The following is a 20,137-nucleotide window of genomic DNA, read 5'->3' as shown; positions in this document are numbered from 1 at the left end:
ATATCTGCAGAAATGTACAGAATTAGTAAGTCAAATATTTTTAAGAGTAAATATTTAATAATTGTTTAAAAGATATTATGTTATAGCATATCAAAGAAACACATCTATAAACTATGATCCTTTCAGTTTCAACTGAGCATAGTTTGGAAGCACTGTATATGAAATTATAATCTTAGATAAATAATATGAAGAACAATTTTATGGCATATATGGCAGGTAAAGTGGTATTACAACCATACAGTGTTTTTTTTTTGTTTTTTTTTTTTTTTTTTGAGATGGAATTTCACTCTTGTTTCCCCGGCTGAAATGCAATGGTGTGATCTTGGCTTACTGCAACCTCTGCCTCCTGGATTCAAGTGATTCTCCTGCCTCAGCCTCCCAAGTAGCTGGGATTACAGACATGTAGCACCACACCTAGCTCATTTTGTATTTTTAGTAAAGATGGGGTTTCACCATGTTGGTCAGACTGGCCTTGAATGGTCAGATTGGTCTTGAACTCCTGACCTCAAATGATCCACCCACCTTGGCCTCCCAAAATACTGTGATTACAAGTGTGAGCCAGCACACCTGGCCTAACCATACACTTTTTGTAAATAAACTATTCATACCCATGTTGGTATGCTAAGATAAAATAACCTATTACTAAATATAAGCCATAACCTAGAAATGAGTAACCAAGATAAAAAAGTAAAACACATACATTTGAAAAAGACAAAAAATTACATTTTGATACCCATTCACAGTCTATAAGAAGAAAAAAAAGTACACACAAAAAGCATCAAGGACATTATTCAATGTAGAAAAAGAGAAGACCAAGAATGGGGCAGAGAGATGTGTGACAATTTAAGGACTTTGAAGAAGAGATCTAGAGATCTTTGCTGACATAATGTCAACAAAATGAAAGAGATACAAAACCATGTAGAGAAAGACAATGACAGAAAAATGTAGATTAGAATCAGAAAACCAACTTAAGTGCTCAGTAAATAAATAGAAAAGTAGCTGTGTTCAGGACTTCAAAGACACATTCCATTTTTTTAAAAAAAATATGTGATCAAAACATGAATGCTCATTTTACTTTTAAGTTATACATATATTTTTATATATATGAAATTTATTGCTGTAAAACAGAAGTTTAATAACATGTATACTTCGTGAATACAACGGAGGTATCTGTGTAAAATGAGTAAATTTCCATGTTTTATATCTAAAAGAAAAAGAAGCAGAAACAAAATATAAGCTATATATCAAGATAAATTTTGATGTTAAAGAATGACACAATAGGTCTTCTTTAAAGAATTTGAATGCAGCAGAGGATACTACAAAAGGAAGAAAAGATGACCACAGACAGCAAAAATATCTTCAGAAATAAAAATTCAAACTAGATAATGAAGAGTGGACTTGACATTATATGTCCAAGGCTTTGTCATTGTTTTCAAAATCATTAAAGAATAAGCGGCCAGGCACAGTGGCTCATGCCACTTTGGGAGGCTGAGTCAGGCAGATCACGAGGTCAGGAGTTTGAGACCAGCCTGACCAACTTTGCAAAACCTCCTCTCTACTAAAAAATACAAAAGGTAGCCGGGTGTGGTTGCACATGCCTGTAATCCCAGCTACTCAGGAGGCTGAGGCAGGAGAATTGCTTGGAGGCATAGGTTGCAGTGAGCCAAGATGGCGCCATTGCACTCCAGCCTGGGAGACAGAGGCACTGTCTCAAAAAAAATAATAATAAATAAAAATAAAAATAAATAAATAAATAAGTATAATATTTTGGCATTCAAAAAATTGTCAGATTATGTTGTTTCTCTTTTATACATATTTTAATACAAATTTTTTCATCCCAACCTTGCCCCAGCAGCTCAGCTGACTCCCAACCCCATGATGCACATGCCTATAAAGTTTTGTTGTGAGTTTCTGAAATACATTTTAAAATAGAATTCATTTAATTATTAAAATGGAGACATAAAATGAAATTGTATCTCAGTTTTAGTCAAGTAAAATTAGAGCTAAATCAATTAATAAATGATTAACATGTTCTACAATATGAAAACCATACCCAGTTGCCTCTTCTTCTAATTCATGATTTTTCTTTCTTATTTGATTCACATTATACTCCAGTGATGATACTAACACAAAAACTTTCCTTAATTCTTCATTTTTTTCTTCAGGCTTAAAAAAAAGTGTTTAAAATTATTTTTGTAAAATCTAGAGACCCTCTTTTATCTTAAAAATATTATTTCTCATAAGTTGATGAGTAATATGTATTTAGGCATGGGTATAAAGTGCATTTTATAAGCCTGATGCCAATAAGGGCAGATTTCAGAAATAGTCACTTTTCTTAAAACTGCTAAAAATGATACATACTTTCATTATATTTTCTGAAATTTAAACTGCCAAAAATGTTTGTTACAAACAAGGGTTTTTACACATAAAATACTAAGGGTTAGTAAAAAATGTGTAGTTATATTTACATTTTACTTTTTAAAGATGCTCTAGAAACATTGTCATTAATAATAGTTTAAGATATTCCAAGTTTTCTTAAATTACATCTTACTAAGACGAGTTTTAGAAAACTCTTATCTATTTCCCATTACCTTTTTGATCCTCATCTGTCTTCAGGTTGAGCTAAATACTGTCATTCTCTGTAAGTATTCACCCACACGTTTCAGTTTTTCCCTTTCTCTTAACCCTTTCTCTTTAAATAAAGTTTTTTTCTATAATAAACAAAAACACAACTTTTGTCTACTTTTTGTGGTTTTTCTATTATCCTGTTTCTCCCCTTCCATTGGAATCTGTGACACATGGTCTCATCCAGAAATCTATTTTTCATCACTTATTGTGTTTTTAATATGGAAATCTGATTTTTAATAATTCCAATAAAAAAGTTCAAGGGTCATGAAGGACTTTATCCTGCTTTACTCAGCAGCAGCTGCGAGCAGTGACCAAATGTTCCCTCTGCTCCTCTGACCCCACTTCATTTCTAAATGCAGCAACCTCTGTTCTTCAGTCCTATTCCTTTCTGTTTGTTTGTTTGTTTTTGAGATGGAGTCCCCCACTGTCACCCAGGCTGGAGTGCAGTGGCACAATCTCAGCTCACCGCAACCTCCACCTTCTGGGTTCAAGCAATTCTCCTGCCTCACCCTCCCAAGTAGCTAGGATTACAGGCGTGTGCTACCACGCCCGGCTAATTTTTCATATTTTTAGTAGAGATGGGGTTTCACTATGTTGGCCAGACTGATCTTGAACTCCTGACCTCATGATCTGCCTGCCTTGGCCTCCCAAAGTGCTGGGATTACAGGCGTGAGCCACCACGCCTGGCTGCTATTCCACTTTTTAAATTCTCTCAGGACTCCTAAAATCTCAAAACTTTGAACTAGATTCCCTAATCTACATTTCCAGCTCTGACATTTTTCTTGAGGCCTCTTCCTTCTAGTACACATATTATAGACAATATTCTCAACCACACGCTCAGACATTGCTACTTGGTGCAGATTACTTTTGTAGATAGTGAATCTTGTCTATTTTATGTTGGTTCTTATTGATGTTACTTTGAGTATACCGTTATTTTCTATCTCAAAGGGGGACAGTCTCACCATTACGATATTGAACAGTATACTTTGTCCTTTTTTTCTTTCTTTCTTCTTTTTTGGACCAGTATACTTTGTCCCTTTTCTTTTTCTTTTTTTTTTTTTTTTGAGATGGAGTCACACTGTGTCATCCAGGCTGGAGTGCAGTGGCGCCATCTTGGCTTACTGCAACTTCCACCTCCTGGGTTCAAGTGATTCTCCTGCCTTGGCCTCCCAAGTAGCTGGGACTACAGGTGCACACCACCACGCCTGGCTAATTTTTGTATTTTCAGTAGAGACAGGGTTTCACCATGTTGGACAGGCTGTTTTTGAACTCCTGACCTCAGGTAATCCACCCACCTCAGCCTCTCGAAATGTTGGGATTACAGACATGAGCCACGACACCCAGCCCTTTTTTTCTTTTATAATGAAAACTTTCCCAAGAGAATCAGATTATCAATTGTTTGCCTTTGTTTTCTTTTAAAGAGTTTCCTTTTCCATAGAGATATGGAATGATGAAAGTCTTGTTCTAAAGTTTCTAAAGTTTCTTTTGGGGGACACTCAAATATATCATTGGGAAGCTCCAGTCAAGTAGACATCTCCCTTCTTCCCATTTGAGATTCTTCATCTCAAAATGGTGTCCACCAAATGTCTTCATCCAGGTAGTCTCTTGCTTAGACATTCAGGAGATAAGAACCTTCTTGAGAAGTTAGAGGCTACTGACTGAGATGGTTTAATGCTGTCCCTTATTATATGTTTTACTCCCTAGGCAGACATCAAAGTGGCTAACAATACTATGCCTGATGTCTAACTCACTTCTATGGGAATCTATACAAAACGTTTTATTTATGAGACAGAGTCTCACTCTGTTACCCAGACTGGAGTGTAGTGGCTTGATCAACACTCACTGCAGCCTCAATATTCCAAGGTCAACCGACCCTCCTACCACAGACTCCCAAGGTAGCTGGGACTACAGGCATGCACCACCATGCCTCTAAGTATTTATTTATTTATTTTTTAAAGACAGGTTCTCATTATATTGCTGTGGCTGATCTCAAACTCCTGGGCTCAAGCGAGCCTCCTGCCTCAGCCTTCCAAAATGCTAGGATTACTTGCATGAGCCACCTCCCCCAACCAGGTGTTTAACTGGGGACTAACATGAAGCACTTACAAGAGTACGTGGAACATAGTGAGCTACATAAAATATTTGCTAGTAGCATAATAATTTTATTGTATATCTTAACAAAATTGTGTATGTTAGGCAGGTGGCATGCCAATGGAAGTAGTCTCCTATAGCTGCACTGAATCATTCTTCTCACCACTGAGAGTTGCAGCAAATGGGGGGCATATAATTTATAACTTACTTTTCTCTGTGTATGACTCAGTAGGCAATGACTATGTATGTACTACAATGTAAATAGCACCTCCTGGATGGAATAGTACATAACTGACATGACCAGCAGAGACAGGCTAAAGACACTGAGCTGAAAACCCTGGACTCTATTGCTAAACCAAGGCTCCTGAATCTGTTCCCTCTGAGCAACTGTTGCTGTGGTGCTGCCTTCACAAGCACTCTGCTGAGCACTCAGATTGAGGGGCTGTGCTATCTGTCATCAGACAAGCTGCAGCCAGAACTGTTCAGCTGACAAACTGGGAGCAGTCCAGAAATACAGTAATGGCTGCATAGTGAAAAAAGGCCAATTTAGATTCTTTTTCATAGAGAGAAAAACATAAACATGTGATTGAACGAGTCTCCTCTATTAGACTAATTGGTTTAGATTTGATATTTAATTGCTAAAAATACATTTAGAATATAAACCTTACTGTGTCAAGGTCTCAAAGAACAAATAATTGGTATGGTATAAAATATTTAATTGTATGCTAAAAACTTCTAAGCTAAAATATTTTCAATTTATGCAAGGATAGGTGCCATACATATTATATATTATTCCCCCATTAAGCAAATTTATACTGAGACAAAATTATCTTCCATAAAAAAGAAAAAGCCATGTAAAATTAAGGACTAAGTTTTCTGCACAGACTGGACAACAATTCCTAACACATAAGGTCAATGAGAGTCAGAACAGTCAGAGAAAGCTTCATAAAAACAAAAAAATTGTCTGCCAGGTCTGAATGAATGAGGCTAGATGAACAGAAACTGAGAAGGCAGAAAGGATAGCATGAGCAAGACAAGTGCTGAAATCTGCCCAATTAACTCTGAGGATAAAGTCCAATGGCAGGGAAATAAAAACACGTGTCCACATAATAACCTCTAAGTGAATGTTTGCAGCAGCATTTTTCATAATAGCTAGAAGTGGAAACTAACGTAAACGTCCATCAACTGATGAATGAATGGAAAACCAGTATAGCCATGCAATAGAGTATCATTTAACTATAACAAGAAATAAACTACCAATGTGTGCTAAAACATGCATGAATTCTGAAAACATTAAGCTAAGTGAAAAAGCCAGTCACAAAGGACTATGTATTGTCTAACTCTATGTATATGAAATATGCAGAACAGGCAAACCTATGGAGACAAAAATAGATGGTGTTTGCCTACAACAGGGGTAGGTGGAGGGACATGGAGGAAGGCTGCAGTCATGCCTAGGAGATGTGGGGTTGCTTTTCAGGGTGATGAAAATGCTGTGAATATACTAACAGATACTGAGTTGCACATTTTAAATGGTTGACCTGTCTGATACATGAATTATATCTCAGTGAAACTGTTTTTAAAATCCAATGGCAGGATCAAGAAAATTTTCTCAGCTCTCAATTTTTGATGTACCTACTATATCAGATCTAAATATTTCTATACTTTTATATTTTAAATAAAAGGTAAATAAAGAAAATGCCTAACTTTTCAAATAGTTTGTAAATTGACATAAAACATGTACATTTCAAAGAATAGTATAATGGCCTTTCTATACAAGTTAACTTAGAATCTGTGAAATAGACACAGATTCTGTGTCCTTTCACAAAAGTGAAGAAATAAGACAATTTTCTGGAACATTCCATTAAACATTGTCCTCTGATTTAATCTGGCCTGCCTCATCATAGCAATACAAAAATTACTTGAAAATATGTTTAACAGGAAAAAAGTCAATTTTCTCTGAGGAATGATGTATAATTATCAACTTTTCCAAGGGTACATATTGTAAGAGAAAAGGTATGCAATCCTTTTTCAAAATGGTAGAACAAAAGTCACAATATTTAAAAAAAGTACATTATAAAGATAGTAAAATGGAAATAATTAATTATAATGAAAGTACAAAATCAAGCTTCTGCCAAAATTAGTATCCTAAAACATGTTATATAATTCAACCAGCTACAGAATAACTGTCGACATGTTAGATTCCATACATACTTGACTTTCCACTTGAAATAATTTCTTCTTTGAGGCCTGTGTCTCATCCAAATTAATGTGACAACATGATGTACCTTCCAGTGGAGACTCTAACATAGTTAATTTTTTAAGGGAATCAGCCACTTCTTGTTGAAGTTGTCTCATAACCACCTGATAAAATACTTTTGTTACTGATTTTATAAATTGCCTTATTATTAAATTATGTTAAGAACATTTAACTCTAACATACCTACTTTGAAAATTATCTCACACACATCAATTCACCTTCTTTTCATCACAGGTACACATTTTTATTTATTACTGAATTCAGTGAGGGATGCAGAATGTGTTATCCTCCTGCCAAATTGGTATTCTCTTAATACAACAGATTCATCCCACCATTCAATCATCTTAGAAGCTCAACTCAACCTCAAAGTTCCTAACATATTCAATCAACTGTTCAAATCCTTCCAACAGATTCCTGTCTCAGAATAAAAGTAAAAGTCCAATGGCCTTTGAGGCCCTAGGTAAACAGGCCTCTACCTCCCTCTCTGACTTCAAGCTTCTACAACTCCCTCCTGTAATTACTCCATTCCCACTGTACGTGAAGCCTACCACCCCGCTTTAGTCTGAAAATGGGGATCTAATGCCTAACTCATAAATCACAGGCAGCTACAGTATCTTTGTACTGGACAAAGTTATATTCAAATGATAGTCATTGAGCCTTGAAATAAAAATTATGAGCTAATTATTAATAAAAATATTCAAAGTAAATTATGAATACGAGTGGGAAGACTAAATCAAATATAGTTTTGCTAAAATTTACCACATTTACCCTAAATTATAATTTTATAACAAGTAGGTGCCTTTAAAACATTACGTGGTCATTAAAATATGTAATTTGAGACTGACATTTTCAGATTTAAGTTAAATTAATATGAATAATAATAAAGCTATACCAACTAAAATATATAAAAAACTACTTAAAGCAAGATATTACAAGATACAGCAATACACTTCAGTTCATCTGGGAAATCTAGAATTAAGTGTTGAAGCAAATCACTTAATTAAATTTTAATTTGAAAATACTCATTTCAGGTGTAAACATTTCCATTTATACCTTCACCATGGTCTTAACATGTGGCAATATAAAGACATTAAAATTATTATTTCAGCACTACAGGACTATCTACCTTAAAATATGACTCTGTGCCTAATAAAATGTCATAGGTGACACAATGTCTTCTCTCAAAGTAAATCATCTCTCACCTCTATGGAAACAAGTTATGTTTCTAAGCTGATGTAGTGAACACATTTTTCCTTTTTTTTTAAACCAAAAAGCTTTGTTGAAATATAATTTACATACTATAGAATGTATCTGTTTTAACATAAAGTTAAAAGATTTTTAGTACATTTTCTGAGCTGTGCAGCCATCTCTACAATCCAACTTTAGAGCATTTCCATCACTGCAAGATCCCTCACGCCCATTAGCAGTCACTACCAGCTTCCAGCCCCAGCCCTTCACAAACATTATTCTACTTTTTGTACCTATACCTTTCTCTTTTCTGGATGCTTCATGTAAATGGAATTATACAGTATAGTAAACACACTTTTTATCTACTGATTTTTATATTCAACTAGGTTCAACATGTATCCAGAACCAAATGTTTAAACTTTCTTTCTAGAAGTTTGAAAATATTTATCTTCCTTGATACTTACTACTGTTTCTGCTTTCTGTCTCTCATATTGAAAGAGACTTTCTTTTAAATGATCATATTCATTCATTAGCTTCTTATTTTTCTCTTCTAGCATGAGGTCTTTCTTTCTACTCTCAATAAAGCCTCTTTGGATATTAATTACTATCTCTTTATGATCCTCTTTCTGATGAACATCAACTAGTTGCTGTTCAAGCCACGGATTTTCACGTTGGAGTTGACATATCCTCTCTTCCACACAGTTCCACTTTCCAGTGGATTTACTGACTTTAGCTTCTGCACTTTGATACATCTCTTTCATTTCCTTTATTTGCTGCTGTGTTTGGCTTAGGTCGTTTTGTACAGTTTCTAAAGCCAATGACTTTTTTCTGAGAGTATCTCTTGTCTTACGGAACTTATCTTTTTTTTTCTTTTATCTTTTTTTTTTAATGTTTATTGATCATTCTTGGGTGTTTCTCGGAGAGGGGTATGTGGCAGGGTCATAGGCTAATAGTGGAGAGAAGGTCAGCAGATAAACACGTGAACAAAGGTCTCTGGTTTTCCTAGGCAGTGTTTGTGTCCCTGGGTACTTGAGATTAGGGAGTGGTGATGACTCCTAACCAGCATGCTGCCTTCAAGCATCTGTTTAACAAAGCACATCTTGCACCACCCTTAATACATTTAACCCTGAGTTGACACAGCACATGTTTCAGAGAGCACGTGGTTGGGGGTAAAGTTATAGATTAACAGCATACCAAGGCAGAAGAATTTTTCTAAGTACAGAACAAAATGGAGTCTCCTATGTCTACTTCTTTCTACACAGACACAGTAACAGTCTGATCTCTCTTTCTTTTCCCCACATTTCCCCCTTTTCTTTGCAACAAAACCACCATCGTCATCATGGCCCATTCTTGATGGTTGCTGTCTCTTCGGAGATGTTGGGTACACCTCCCAGATGGGGCGGCTGGGTAGAGGCGCTCCTCGCTTCCCAGACAGGGCGGTGGGGCAGAGGTGCTCCTCACATCCCAGAGGATGGGTGGCCGGGCAGAGATGCTCCCCACTTCCCAGACGGGGTGGCTGGGTAGAGGTGCTCCCCACTTCCCAGACTATGGGCGGCTGGGCAAAGGCGCTCCCCACTTCCCAGATGGGGCAGCCGGGCAGAGGCACTCCCCACTTCCCAGACTATGGGTGGCCAGGCAGAGGCGCTCCTCACATCCCAGACGGGGCGGCTGGGCAGAGGCACTCCTCACTTCCCAGATGGGGTGGCCGGGCAGAGGCGCTCCCCACTTCCCAGATGATGGGCAGCTGGGCAGAGGCACTCCCCACATCCCAGATGGGGCAGCCGGGCAGAGGTGCTCCTCGTTTCCCAGACAGGGCGGCAGGGCAGAGGTGCTCCTCACATCCCAGACGATGGGTGGCCGGGCAGAGATGCTCCTCACTTCCCAGACGGGGCAGCCAGGCAGAGGTGCTCCCCACTTCCCAGACGGGGTGGCCGGGCAGAGGCGCTCCTCACTTCCCAGACTATGGGCGGCCGGGCAGAGGTGCTCCCCACTTCCCAGGCGGGGCAGCTGGGCAGAGGTGCTCCTCACTTCCCAGACAGGGTGGCCGGGCAGAGGCACTCCCCACTTCCCAGACGGGGTGGCCGGGCAGAGGCGCTCCTCACTTCCCAGACGGGGTGGCTGGGCAGAGGCGCTCCCCACTTCCCAGATGGGGTGGCCAGGGAGAGGCACTCCTCACTTCCCAGATGGGGCAGCCGGGCAGAGGTGCTCCCCACTTCCCAGATGATGGGCGGCCAGGCAGAGGCACTCCCCACATCCCAGATGGGGCGGCCGGGCAGAGGCACTCCTCACTTCCCAGACTATGGGCGGCCGGGCAGAGGTGCTCCCCACTTCCCAGGTGGGGCAGCTGGGCAGAGGTGCTCCTCACTTCCCAGATGGGGTGGCCGGGCAGAGGCACTCCCCACTTCCCAGACGGGGTGGCCGGGCAGAGGCGCTCCTCACTTCCCAGACGGGGTGGCCGGGCAGAGGCGCTCCCCACTTCCCAGATGGGGTGGCCAGGGAGAGGCACTCCTCACTTCCCAGATGGGGCAGCCGGGCAGAGGTGCTCCCCACTTCCCAGATGATGGGCGGCCAGGCAGAGGCACTCCCCACATCCCAGATGGGGCGGCCGGGCAGAGGCACTCCTCACCTCCCAGACAGGGTGACCGGGCAGAGGCGCTCCTCACTTCCTCCTAGACAGGGCGGCCAGGCAGAGGTGCTCCTCACTTCCCAGATGGGGCGGCCGGGCAGAAGCGCTCCTCACTTCCCAGATGGGGTGGCCGGGCAGAGGCGCTCCCTACTTCCCAGATGGGGCGGCCAGGCAGAGGCGCTCCCCACTTCCCAGATGGGGTGGCGGCTGGGCAGAGACGCTCCTCACATCCCAGACAGGGCGGCTGGGCAGAGGCACTCCTCACATCCCAGACGGGGTGGCCGGGCAGAAGCGCTCCCCACTTCCTAGGCAGGGCAGCCGGGCAGAGGTGCTCCCCACTTCCCAGATGGGGTGGCGGCTGGGCAGAGGCGCTCCTCAGTTCCCAGATGGGGCTGCCAGGCAGAGGCACTCCTCACCTCTCAGACGGGGTGGCGGCCAGGCAGAGGCGCTCCTCACCTCCCAGACGGGGCGGCCGGGCAGAGGCGCTCCTCAATTCCCAGATGGGGCAGTCGGGCAGAGACGCTCCTCACCTTCCAGGCGGGGCAGCCTGGCAGAGGCACTCCCCACATCCCAGATGGGGCGGCTGGGCAGAGGCACTCCTCACTTCCTAGACAGGGTGGCGGCCGGGCAGAGGCACTCCTCACTTCCTAGACAGGGTGGCGGCCGGGCAGAGGCACTCCTCACTTCCCAGACAGGGCAGCTGGGCAGAGGCACTCCTCACTTCCCAGACAGGGCGGCTGGGCAGAGGCACTCCTCACTTCCCAGATGGGGCGGCTGGGCAGAGGCGCTCCCCAAATCCCAGACAGGGCGGCCGGGCAGAGGCACTCCTCACTTCCTAGATGGGGTGGTGGCCAGGCAGAGGCACTCCTCACTTCCCAGATGGGGCGGCTGGACAGAGGCGCTCCCCACTTCCCAGACGGGGCAGCCGGGCAGAGGCACTCCTCACTTCCTCCCAGATGCAGGGCAGCCAGGCAGAGGCGCTCCTCACCTCCCAGATGGGGCGGCCGGGCAGAGGCACTCCTCACTTCCCAGACGATGGTCAGTAGGGCAGAGGTGCTCCTCACATCCCAGATGGGGCAGCCAGGCAGAGGTGCTCCTCACATCCCAGAGGATGGGCGGTCAGGCAGAGACGCTCCTCACTTCCTAGATGGGGTGGCAACCGGGCAGAGGTGCTCCTTACTTCCCAGATGGGGCGGCCAGGCAGAGGTGCTCCTCACTTCCCATTCAGGGTGGCTGGGCAGAGGGGCTCCTCACATCCCAGACAATGGGCGGCCAGGCAGAGACGATCCTCACTTCCTAGACGGGGTGGCGGCTGGGCAGAGGCGCTCCTCACTTCCCAGATGGGGTGGCTGGGCAGAGGCGCTCCTCACATCCCAGACGGGGTGGTGGGTGGGCAGAGGCACTCCTCACTTCCCAGACGGGGCAGCCAGGCAGAGACGCTGCTCACTTCCTAGATGGGGTGGCGGGCGGGCAGAGGCTGTAATCTTAGCACTTTGGGAGGCCAAGGCAGGCGGCTGGGAGGTGAAGGTTGTAGCGAGCCGAGATCCCGCCACTGCACTCCAGCCTGCTGTCTTTGTCTGTTCTTTCATTTATGAGAGGAATCCATTGACTTGTTACCTTATCAATAGAATGCTTGTTGTTAACGGCATACACTATACAGACGACATTAGCCTGAGATATTTCTTGATGAAGTTGTTCATTACTCTGTTCTGCTTCTGAGTAATCTACAATGTGTGTTGGAACTCTCTCTGGGGTGACATCAGCTGGAATGGTGATTTCTTCTGCCCGGGGAGGAACCTCTTCTGGAAATTCTTCACTGACCAGAGACATAATCAATGATGTCTTCCCAACTCTAGGTTCTCCCACCACCAGGATCTGCACGTCTTTCTTCATGTCGGTGGCTCTCGGGGGCCGGACTCCACCCACACGCATGCAGTGGACTCCTTTCACCAGGAGCACCCACCCCACAGTGCCACCTGCCAGCCTCTTCGGCTGCCGGGGCCTGCCGCGCCGCCCCCTCAGTTGCTTCCCAGCAAGAGAGCAGGGACGGCACCAGCTCCACTTCCTCCAGCCCAGCAGGCTGCAGCGGCAGCGGCCAGAACTTATCTTTTAAGGTATTGAATTTAATTTGCATTTTAGAAAGTTGTTCAGTAAGAAACTAATTCTTATCTTCTATTTCGGAAATATCAGAACTCATTTTTACTTGCTCAGAAATATCTTGTGTTCTCTCTAAAGCAAGTTTTAGGTTTCTTTCTGTTTTCACATTTTCACTGTGTTTACTTATATAGCAGCAGCCAGTCTAGACTGATAAGATTCAATTTCAGCTTCCAGTTTTTTCTTGCTTTCTTTTTCCTTCAACAGTTCAGAATTGAGCCTTGTATTCTCAGCTTTGAGATCATTAAGCTCTTGTTGATACCAGAATGCTGTTTTTGTTATCATTTCCTCATTGAGTTTTATACACTTTTCAAGGGCAGCATTTGTTTCTTTAGCAATTTTAATGTCCTTAAGATATTTATTTTCTTTTTCCAGGTTGTCATTTTTCATTGTGCATATTTCCTGTCTGAGTATAGCAATATCTGTCTTCAAAATGCAATTTTCATCCATCAGATCTTTCACTTCTTCATGATTATGAAAATCCTAAATAATACAAAAGAAAGTTTTAGCTAGTACTCAATAAAATAACATATCATGATTACCTCTGAAGTTAAAGAATAACCTGCACATCCATGCACTAAAAAGGTTACTGTAAGTGGATATCCAACTGGAGAAAAAGTTGAAGCAAAATTTTGAACCTTATAGAGCATAAATTCCAAAAAGTTCAGAAATTTATTTAAAGTCAATGAATTTATAAAAGTAAACACACACACACACATGCACACCAGAGAATTTTTAAGAATTTCAGAATTGGAAAAGCCTTTCCCTGAATTACAACAAACTCAAAAGTATAAATTAAAGCATTAACAAATTTGACTAAATTAAAATATATCAAAAAATTGCATTTACACTTTGATATCTAACCCATACACCACCCTATAGTAAGAACCTTAGTTCACACATATTTGGACAGATAAAATTTCCCAGAGTTATTACAGTTCACTGATAACATTCTATTTCAATTTGACTCTTTTAACACTTTTATAGTCAGTTATAAGAATTACATTTACTAAATCATAAATCTAGACATTATACTAGTCACTCCTATATACATTCATTGATGAACTCATCTAGTTACCATAATTTTGAGAAAGAAAGGTTAAAAATATAAGCAAGCTACAGGATTTTCCCCAGGACTTCTGACTCTACTTCTAGTTCTCCAACAGATCACAATTACTTCTGTGGTGTAAATATATCCATATGAAAGAAAACTTTTATTTCAAAACACCAGTGGTAAATAAGATAAAATTTATAGAGCTCTTCTAAGATTATCATGAGTTATTTGTGATTGCAATAATTTCTGTCTCCTCTTTATAATATTAGGTACAGTAATCAATATGAAATAGGGGAAAGTACATGGAACAATTTTACTGGGAACAAAATCTTTATCAATAGGTTATCACTAAGTATATATTATGGCATATTATTGTTTTCAAAAGCTCTTTGTAATAAAATAATATCCTATGTGGATGCCAAGATTTATAGTAAATATTAATAATTGTACCTGTAAGTGTCATCACTCATTTTTAAAAATGAGATAACATTTCTGGTTTGTTTTTTACCTAAATAATATATATTAAATCAAGTGGATATTATAAGTAACATTGATAAAATAAAGTTTAAAATATAGAATTTTTACCAAAGATTGATTTACCTGATTTGGAGTATTTCTTGCAGTCTTTGGTTTCATCTCTAGTGATTGAACAGTTGGTTCAAGTTGTTTTGCTTCAACTTCTTTCTTATATTGTTTCTCTTTCCTTTCTAATTCTTCTCGATTTTTTTTGTGCAGCATATTAACATTTGTTTTTTCTTCATTTTCTTGTTTTAAGGTGCATCTGCAGATAAAGACATTTATCTTAAAATTCATTTTGTTAAAAAATAAAGAGTTCATCCTGTTATCTACCTCTGCAGATGTTGTTTATTATCCTAATAAGATTTCTATGTTCTGGATTATTTTTCCTTTGCAGTTCTCAGATATTTAATTTCTCACTTCAACATCTTCAAAAGAATGCATATACTTGAAAAGTAGTAAGGAAAGAATATTCTGCTAAAGGTTTTATTACTAGTCACTCTAGTATATATTATAAAAAAGGATACTGGAGATAATTCAGTAAAGTTACAAGTTCAAAATTACCTTTTCAAATCACACAGTCATAATTACTCCCTAATTAGAAAAGGTCATTTACAATCAACTAAAATTTTAAAGTTACTATTTATTGACAAGTGTATAATTTCACTAGAAATAAATTTTCATCTTTATGAAATATTGTGGGTGTCTCTCCAAATGATTTACAGAGTAAGATGTCTCTCACAAAAACTATATCTGCAAATGACTGTCATCCAAAACTAGGCTAAAGAGTCTAACATCTGTTACCCCACACTTTTTATAATTATTTCTTAATACTTTCAATTCACCTTCTTATTATATATATTTTATATATTTATTAGCCTATTGTTCATTATGTGTAATATATAATTAATGCCCTTAATAAGTGTGTGTATGTTTACACAAGTTATGTTTTCCTGGGAAATCTAGTCCCAGAAGTGGAGTTGTTGAGTTAAAGGGATGTCAGGTTATTTGAAATTTTGATACACAGCACTAAGTTACCTTTCAGAACTAATTTACCAATTTCATATACCAACAGTGTATGAGAATGCCTTTTTCCTCACATTTGCCAACACGAGTAATTACTGTTTAAATATCAGCATGACTTTACAAAATATATCTTATTTTATGTTAATTTACATTTTTCTGATTACCAGGCAGGGCTAAATATCCCTGGTAAAAATATAAAACTTGTTAATCCTAAGGAATATTAGTCCAATTTTGAATTAGTTTATAGCACAACGACAATTATCTCCTATGAAATATTGCTATACGTGGCCAGGCACAGTGGCTCACTCCTGTAAACCCAGCACTTCGGGAGGCTGAGATTGGCAGAACACCTGAGGTCAGGAGTTCCAGACCAGCCTGGTTAACATGGTGAAACCTCATTTCTACTAAAAATGCAAAAAATTAGCCAGGCATGGTGGCACATGCCTGTAATCTCAGCTACTAGGGAGGCTGAGTCAGGAGAATCACTTGAACCCAGTAGGCAGAGGTTGCAGTGAGGCAAGAACACACCATTGCACTCCAGCTTGGGCAACAAGAGAGAAACTCCATCTCAAAAAAAAAAATAACCCAAACAAAACAAAACAAAACAAACACACTGCTATAGGCTTACTTACCTATCATGCTCTTCCTTCAGTTTCTTGGGAAATTGCTGAGGATATGTTTTCCCAATCTTTCTTTGTTGGGTTAATCTGTCAGCAGCAGCAGAAAATGTACTATGACATATATTTTCTGATAGTTGTATTTTTTCACTTTTGTATGTATTATTTCCTTCTATGACCTTTAATAAAAGTAATATGAATAATAATTATTTTATTCAATAAAAAGAACATTTTCCCTGATTTTTTCACTTGATTCAGGTTAACTATCACCATTTTAATGATAAAAGTATTTTGTGCTTACTTTAATTTTATCATTATACATAATTATTATAATTATAAGGTACTCATCATTTTATCATTGAAATTTTTGTCAAGTCTGCTCATTTCTGTTTGAGTGAATGGAAGAATTTTAAAATTAAAAAAATGGAAAATTTTAAAAAGTCCGCTTCTCCATTTTGTGCTTTTATTCCCATCCACTCTTTGCTATCTGACATAAATGTTTATGTTATCTGACTGGCAGAAACAGAGAAATAAAAAGACACAGGCATAACATATGTCTTCTGTCTTTACCACCTGGATTTTACATGAAATAGCCAGATTAAGAGGATGTGACTTTGTAGGGCTTCAGGAACAGTAAAGAAGTTTTCCCTTTTCTGCACTAAGCTATTCTTTTCCCCAGTGCCTTTTATCTCTCTTTTTTTTTTTTTTTTTTTTTGAATCCTGGGATATCAAAAAAGTAAAGGTTCTCCCTGAACTATGGGAACCAAAGTTTGCCACAACACAAGAAGCAGAGTGAAACTGCTGAGTTTCTAGTGCAGAATTCTGGAAAATGAGATGCTTCCCAGATTTCACATTCTATTACCACAAAAGTTTATAGGTGCAAAACATATGGTACAGTTACCTACTTTAGCCCCATCATCTACTGATAATGGGAGTCAAACCAACCAAGACATATTAAATGTTTCATCCAGAGCTCTTGAGGTGGCATTCCCTAGCATTTCATGGCACCAAATAACATGATACAATTCCATATTTCTGAATTACATAAATTACCAGATAAATTTATCAAATTAGTCAGATATATTAAAAGTCTAACTTAAGCAAAGCAATTTAATGCCTCAGAGGGTGGAAAAAGGCCTCATCTGCTTTTACTTTGAAAGAAGAAAATCTCTAGAATTTTGTCTATCTTTAGAACACAATGTACAGAACTCAATTTTCTACTAAAGAGTCAAAGGCTAAATTTTTGGCTAAGAAATTATGCTTCTTACATGATAAAAATCATACATGCCAAAACTTACCATACTTTATTAAACAACATAATGTAAGGTCTGATTCAACAGAAATATTGGAGAGTGGTGATTTTTTAAAATATGTGGAAGTATATATTTGTTTTCAAAATATTGGAAATAACCATGATGGGACTATAAGTTCAAACAGTTTGAGCTAAGCAGATAAACTTGCATGCATGAAAACACATTAAACAGACTCATTTGGCTGGGAATATCCATTGCAACTCTCAAGGCTAGACGTGTTTTTGTGGCTTGTCGCAGTCATTGCTTCCCTCCCATTGTATTACCATTCTATCATTAAATAAATGTAATTCATCTCTAAATGAATACAGAAAAAAGAATCTAGAATCCAGAGCTTATTTCTTTAGCAATTTCTTTATGTTGATCTGGTTCAGAAGGTCACATGGTATATGGCTGAATTAGTTTCCCAGCTCATATGCCACTTGGAAGACTGATAGGGAGACTTAGGTTGATTAATGAACAAACATTATGAGAACATTCTCCAGAACCATTATTTAGATAGCAAAACTAATCTACTTTGACACATAATTACACATTTAGATAATCCCACTGTAACTGTACACGAGATTTTCTTGAATAGAAAATCTGACTGAATCAAATAATTGATAAAGAGAAAAAAGAAGCAGCAAGTGAACCTCTGTCTTTTTGAAGTTGGACTTTCCTTCTCCAAAGCTAGGAACTCTACTGGTAACATGCTACCTCATTCTTTTTTACTATTACTATACTTTAAGTTCTGGTACATGTGCACAATGTGCAGGTTTGTTACATATGTATACATGTGCCATGTTGGTGACCTTGGAATATCTTGCTGTGTCTTCTAGCTATATTTTTGATGTTCTCTCACTATGTGGCAAAGAATAAACCCACATTTTATAATTCAAGATTCATGCTTTTGTAGTTATTAGCACTGGGATTGTCATATAGTGGCTTCTGGAGTAAGCACTGTATTGGTTTTCTGTTTTTATAAGTGTCTGTAGCAGCAGAAATACTGTGGCTTTCTATCTGAATCATATGCTTCATTTCTTTGAGGTGGGTAAACCACAAATCAAAAAGACTTTCTGGATCTCTAGACTGAGGCCAGTGCCTAATGTCTAATTTCCAATTAGTGGTATTTGGGTTTATATTTTTTGCCATTTGCATGTGAAACTCTTAATAATCTTTCATTTCAATCACAATTACTGGGTTCCTTAATGTTTCAGTTTCTGTATCATTACAAAAATTTTCATCACCTGTGTTAGAAACAAGCTATGTGTCTGGTTTGTTATCATTTTTATAGTCTGATTTATTTTCATTTAAATGAAGCTTAGAAGATGACTGGTAAGTGTATTTCAGGGACCTGGAGTGTGAATGGAATAAAAAGACATTTGACATGGGATTCCTCTGTTCAGGTGCTGCCTGGACTGCCACAGAGTTAGACCCTCCAGATGCATTTTTCTCCTCACAATCAGGGATATGATTCGTCAGATTAGAGGGCACTCCTTTTTCCTTTGTCCCTCTTTAGAGTTACTATGTAGAAGCTCTTCCTCAGGGCAAGCAGTAATTTTGGAGTTTTCAAAACTTTTACCAATATTCAGCTTGAACTTGTTTGTAATGAATTTTAAAGAAAGTCGTGAATATACAGATAGATTCCTTTTTCACAATTCTTACCCAGTTCTGGTTCTTGAGACTTTTTTTTTTTTTTTGGCAGGTGCAAAATGGAAAACAAATTTGCTTGTTTTGTTTCTCAGATGTCTTTTCTGTCAGAATGCATGTTCTAAAATTAGCTTTAATCAAGTATAAACAAAGAAATATTAGAAAATAATTAAAATTTAACTGTGAAACTTAATCTGTGTGTTGCCACTCTTAAATTATGGGATTGTAACTAAAAAGTGAAAAATAATTTGCCTTGGCTTAACATACGACAGAAACATAAACCGGCAAGCTGAACTCTCAGTGTTTGTTTGGACTAAACTTAATGCATTATGTGTAAAGTCTACCAGAAATGAATTCAAAGATGATAGGTAGTATTATAAAAGCTTCCTCTCTTACAAAGACTTTACCTCAGCATGCCAGAAAGAGTGAGCCCCTACAGTGCATGTATATTTCTGAAGATTAACTAGAGACTAGGCAAACACTAAATTATTAAGAGCCAAACTGAACACCAATAAGAAAGAGAAGCAAAATTTTAAATTCTAATTCAAATGATATACTATGATAGTGTTATTTATCTAGATAGAGTTTCTGCTCATATCCACTTCTAATATATTTTAAGTTCCAGTACTGACAGTGTTTGGATTTTTTTAATTTTAGTAATATTTACTATGTATTTATATTGAAATGAAGTTATTGTTTGTACCCTGATACCAAAGGTCCCATTCTGCAAGGTAGGATTCTCTTAAAAGGCAACTGGGTTGACTTTTATGACCCCATTCACTCCCTGAACACAGACACAGAAGTCAACTGGTGACCATGAAAGAGAATAAATCTTTAAACTCGGCACTGGTGACCAGCAATATAAAACTGCAACATTTGAACCACTGGCAATGATGACTCTTTTAACACTAGTTTAACTCAGTGGCCATCTTTATTAAATTGTTCATAATTTCTATTCCTTAGTAATATGACCCAATATTTCATGTTACCTTCTGTATTATGAGTAAGGTTATACAAATAAAAGAGCAAGATAATTGT

At 39.2% G+C, this 20,137-nt stretch overlaps 2 pseudogenes across 1 annotated transcript in view; both read right to left on the bottom strand.

Annotated features, from left to right (window-relative positions):
- Window positions 1-7,640: 7,640 nt before the first annotated feature.
- ANKRD20A5P (ankyrin repeat domain 20 family member A5, pseudogene) overlaps window positions 7,641-20,137 on the bottom strand; it is a 47,954-nt pseudogene continuing 35,457 nt past the window's right edge. The window contains exons 13-16 of the transcript NR_040113.1: window positions 16,173-16,336; window positions 14,599-14,779; window positions 12,893-13,427; window positions 7,641-9,018 (exon numbers count right to left, since the gene is read on the bottom strand). The product of NR_040113.1 is annotated as an ankyrin repeat domain 20 family member A5, pseudogene (transcript). The remainder of the gene's footprint in view (window positions 9,019-12,892; window positions 13,428-14,598; window positions 14,780-16,172; window positions 16,337-20,137) is intronic.
- Window positions 12,351-12,683, bottom strand: RHOT1P1 (ras homolog family member T1 pseudogene 1; annotated as a pseudogene).

Source organism: Homo sapiens, chromosome 18, assembly GCF_000001405.40.
Source record: "Homo sapiens chromosome 18, GRCh38.p14 Primary Assembly".
NCBI lineage: Eukaryota > Metazoa > Chordata > Mammalia > Primates > Hominidae > Homo > Homo sapiens.
This window is presented reverse-complemented; position numbering and strand designations above follow the sequence as displayed.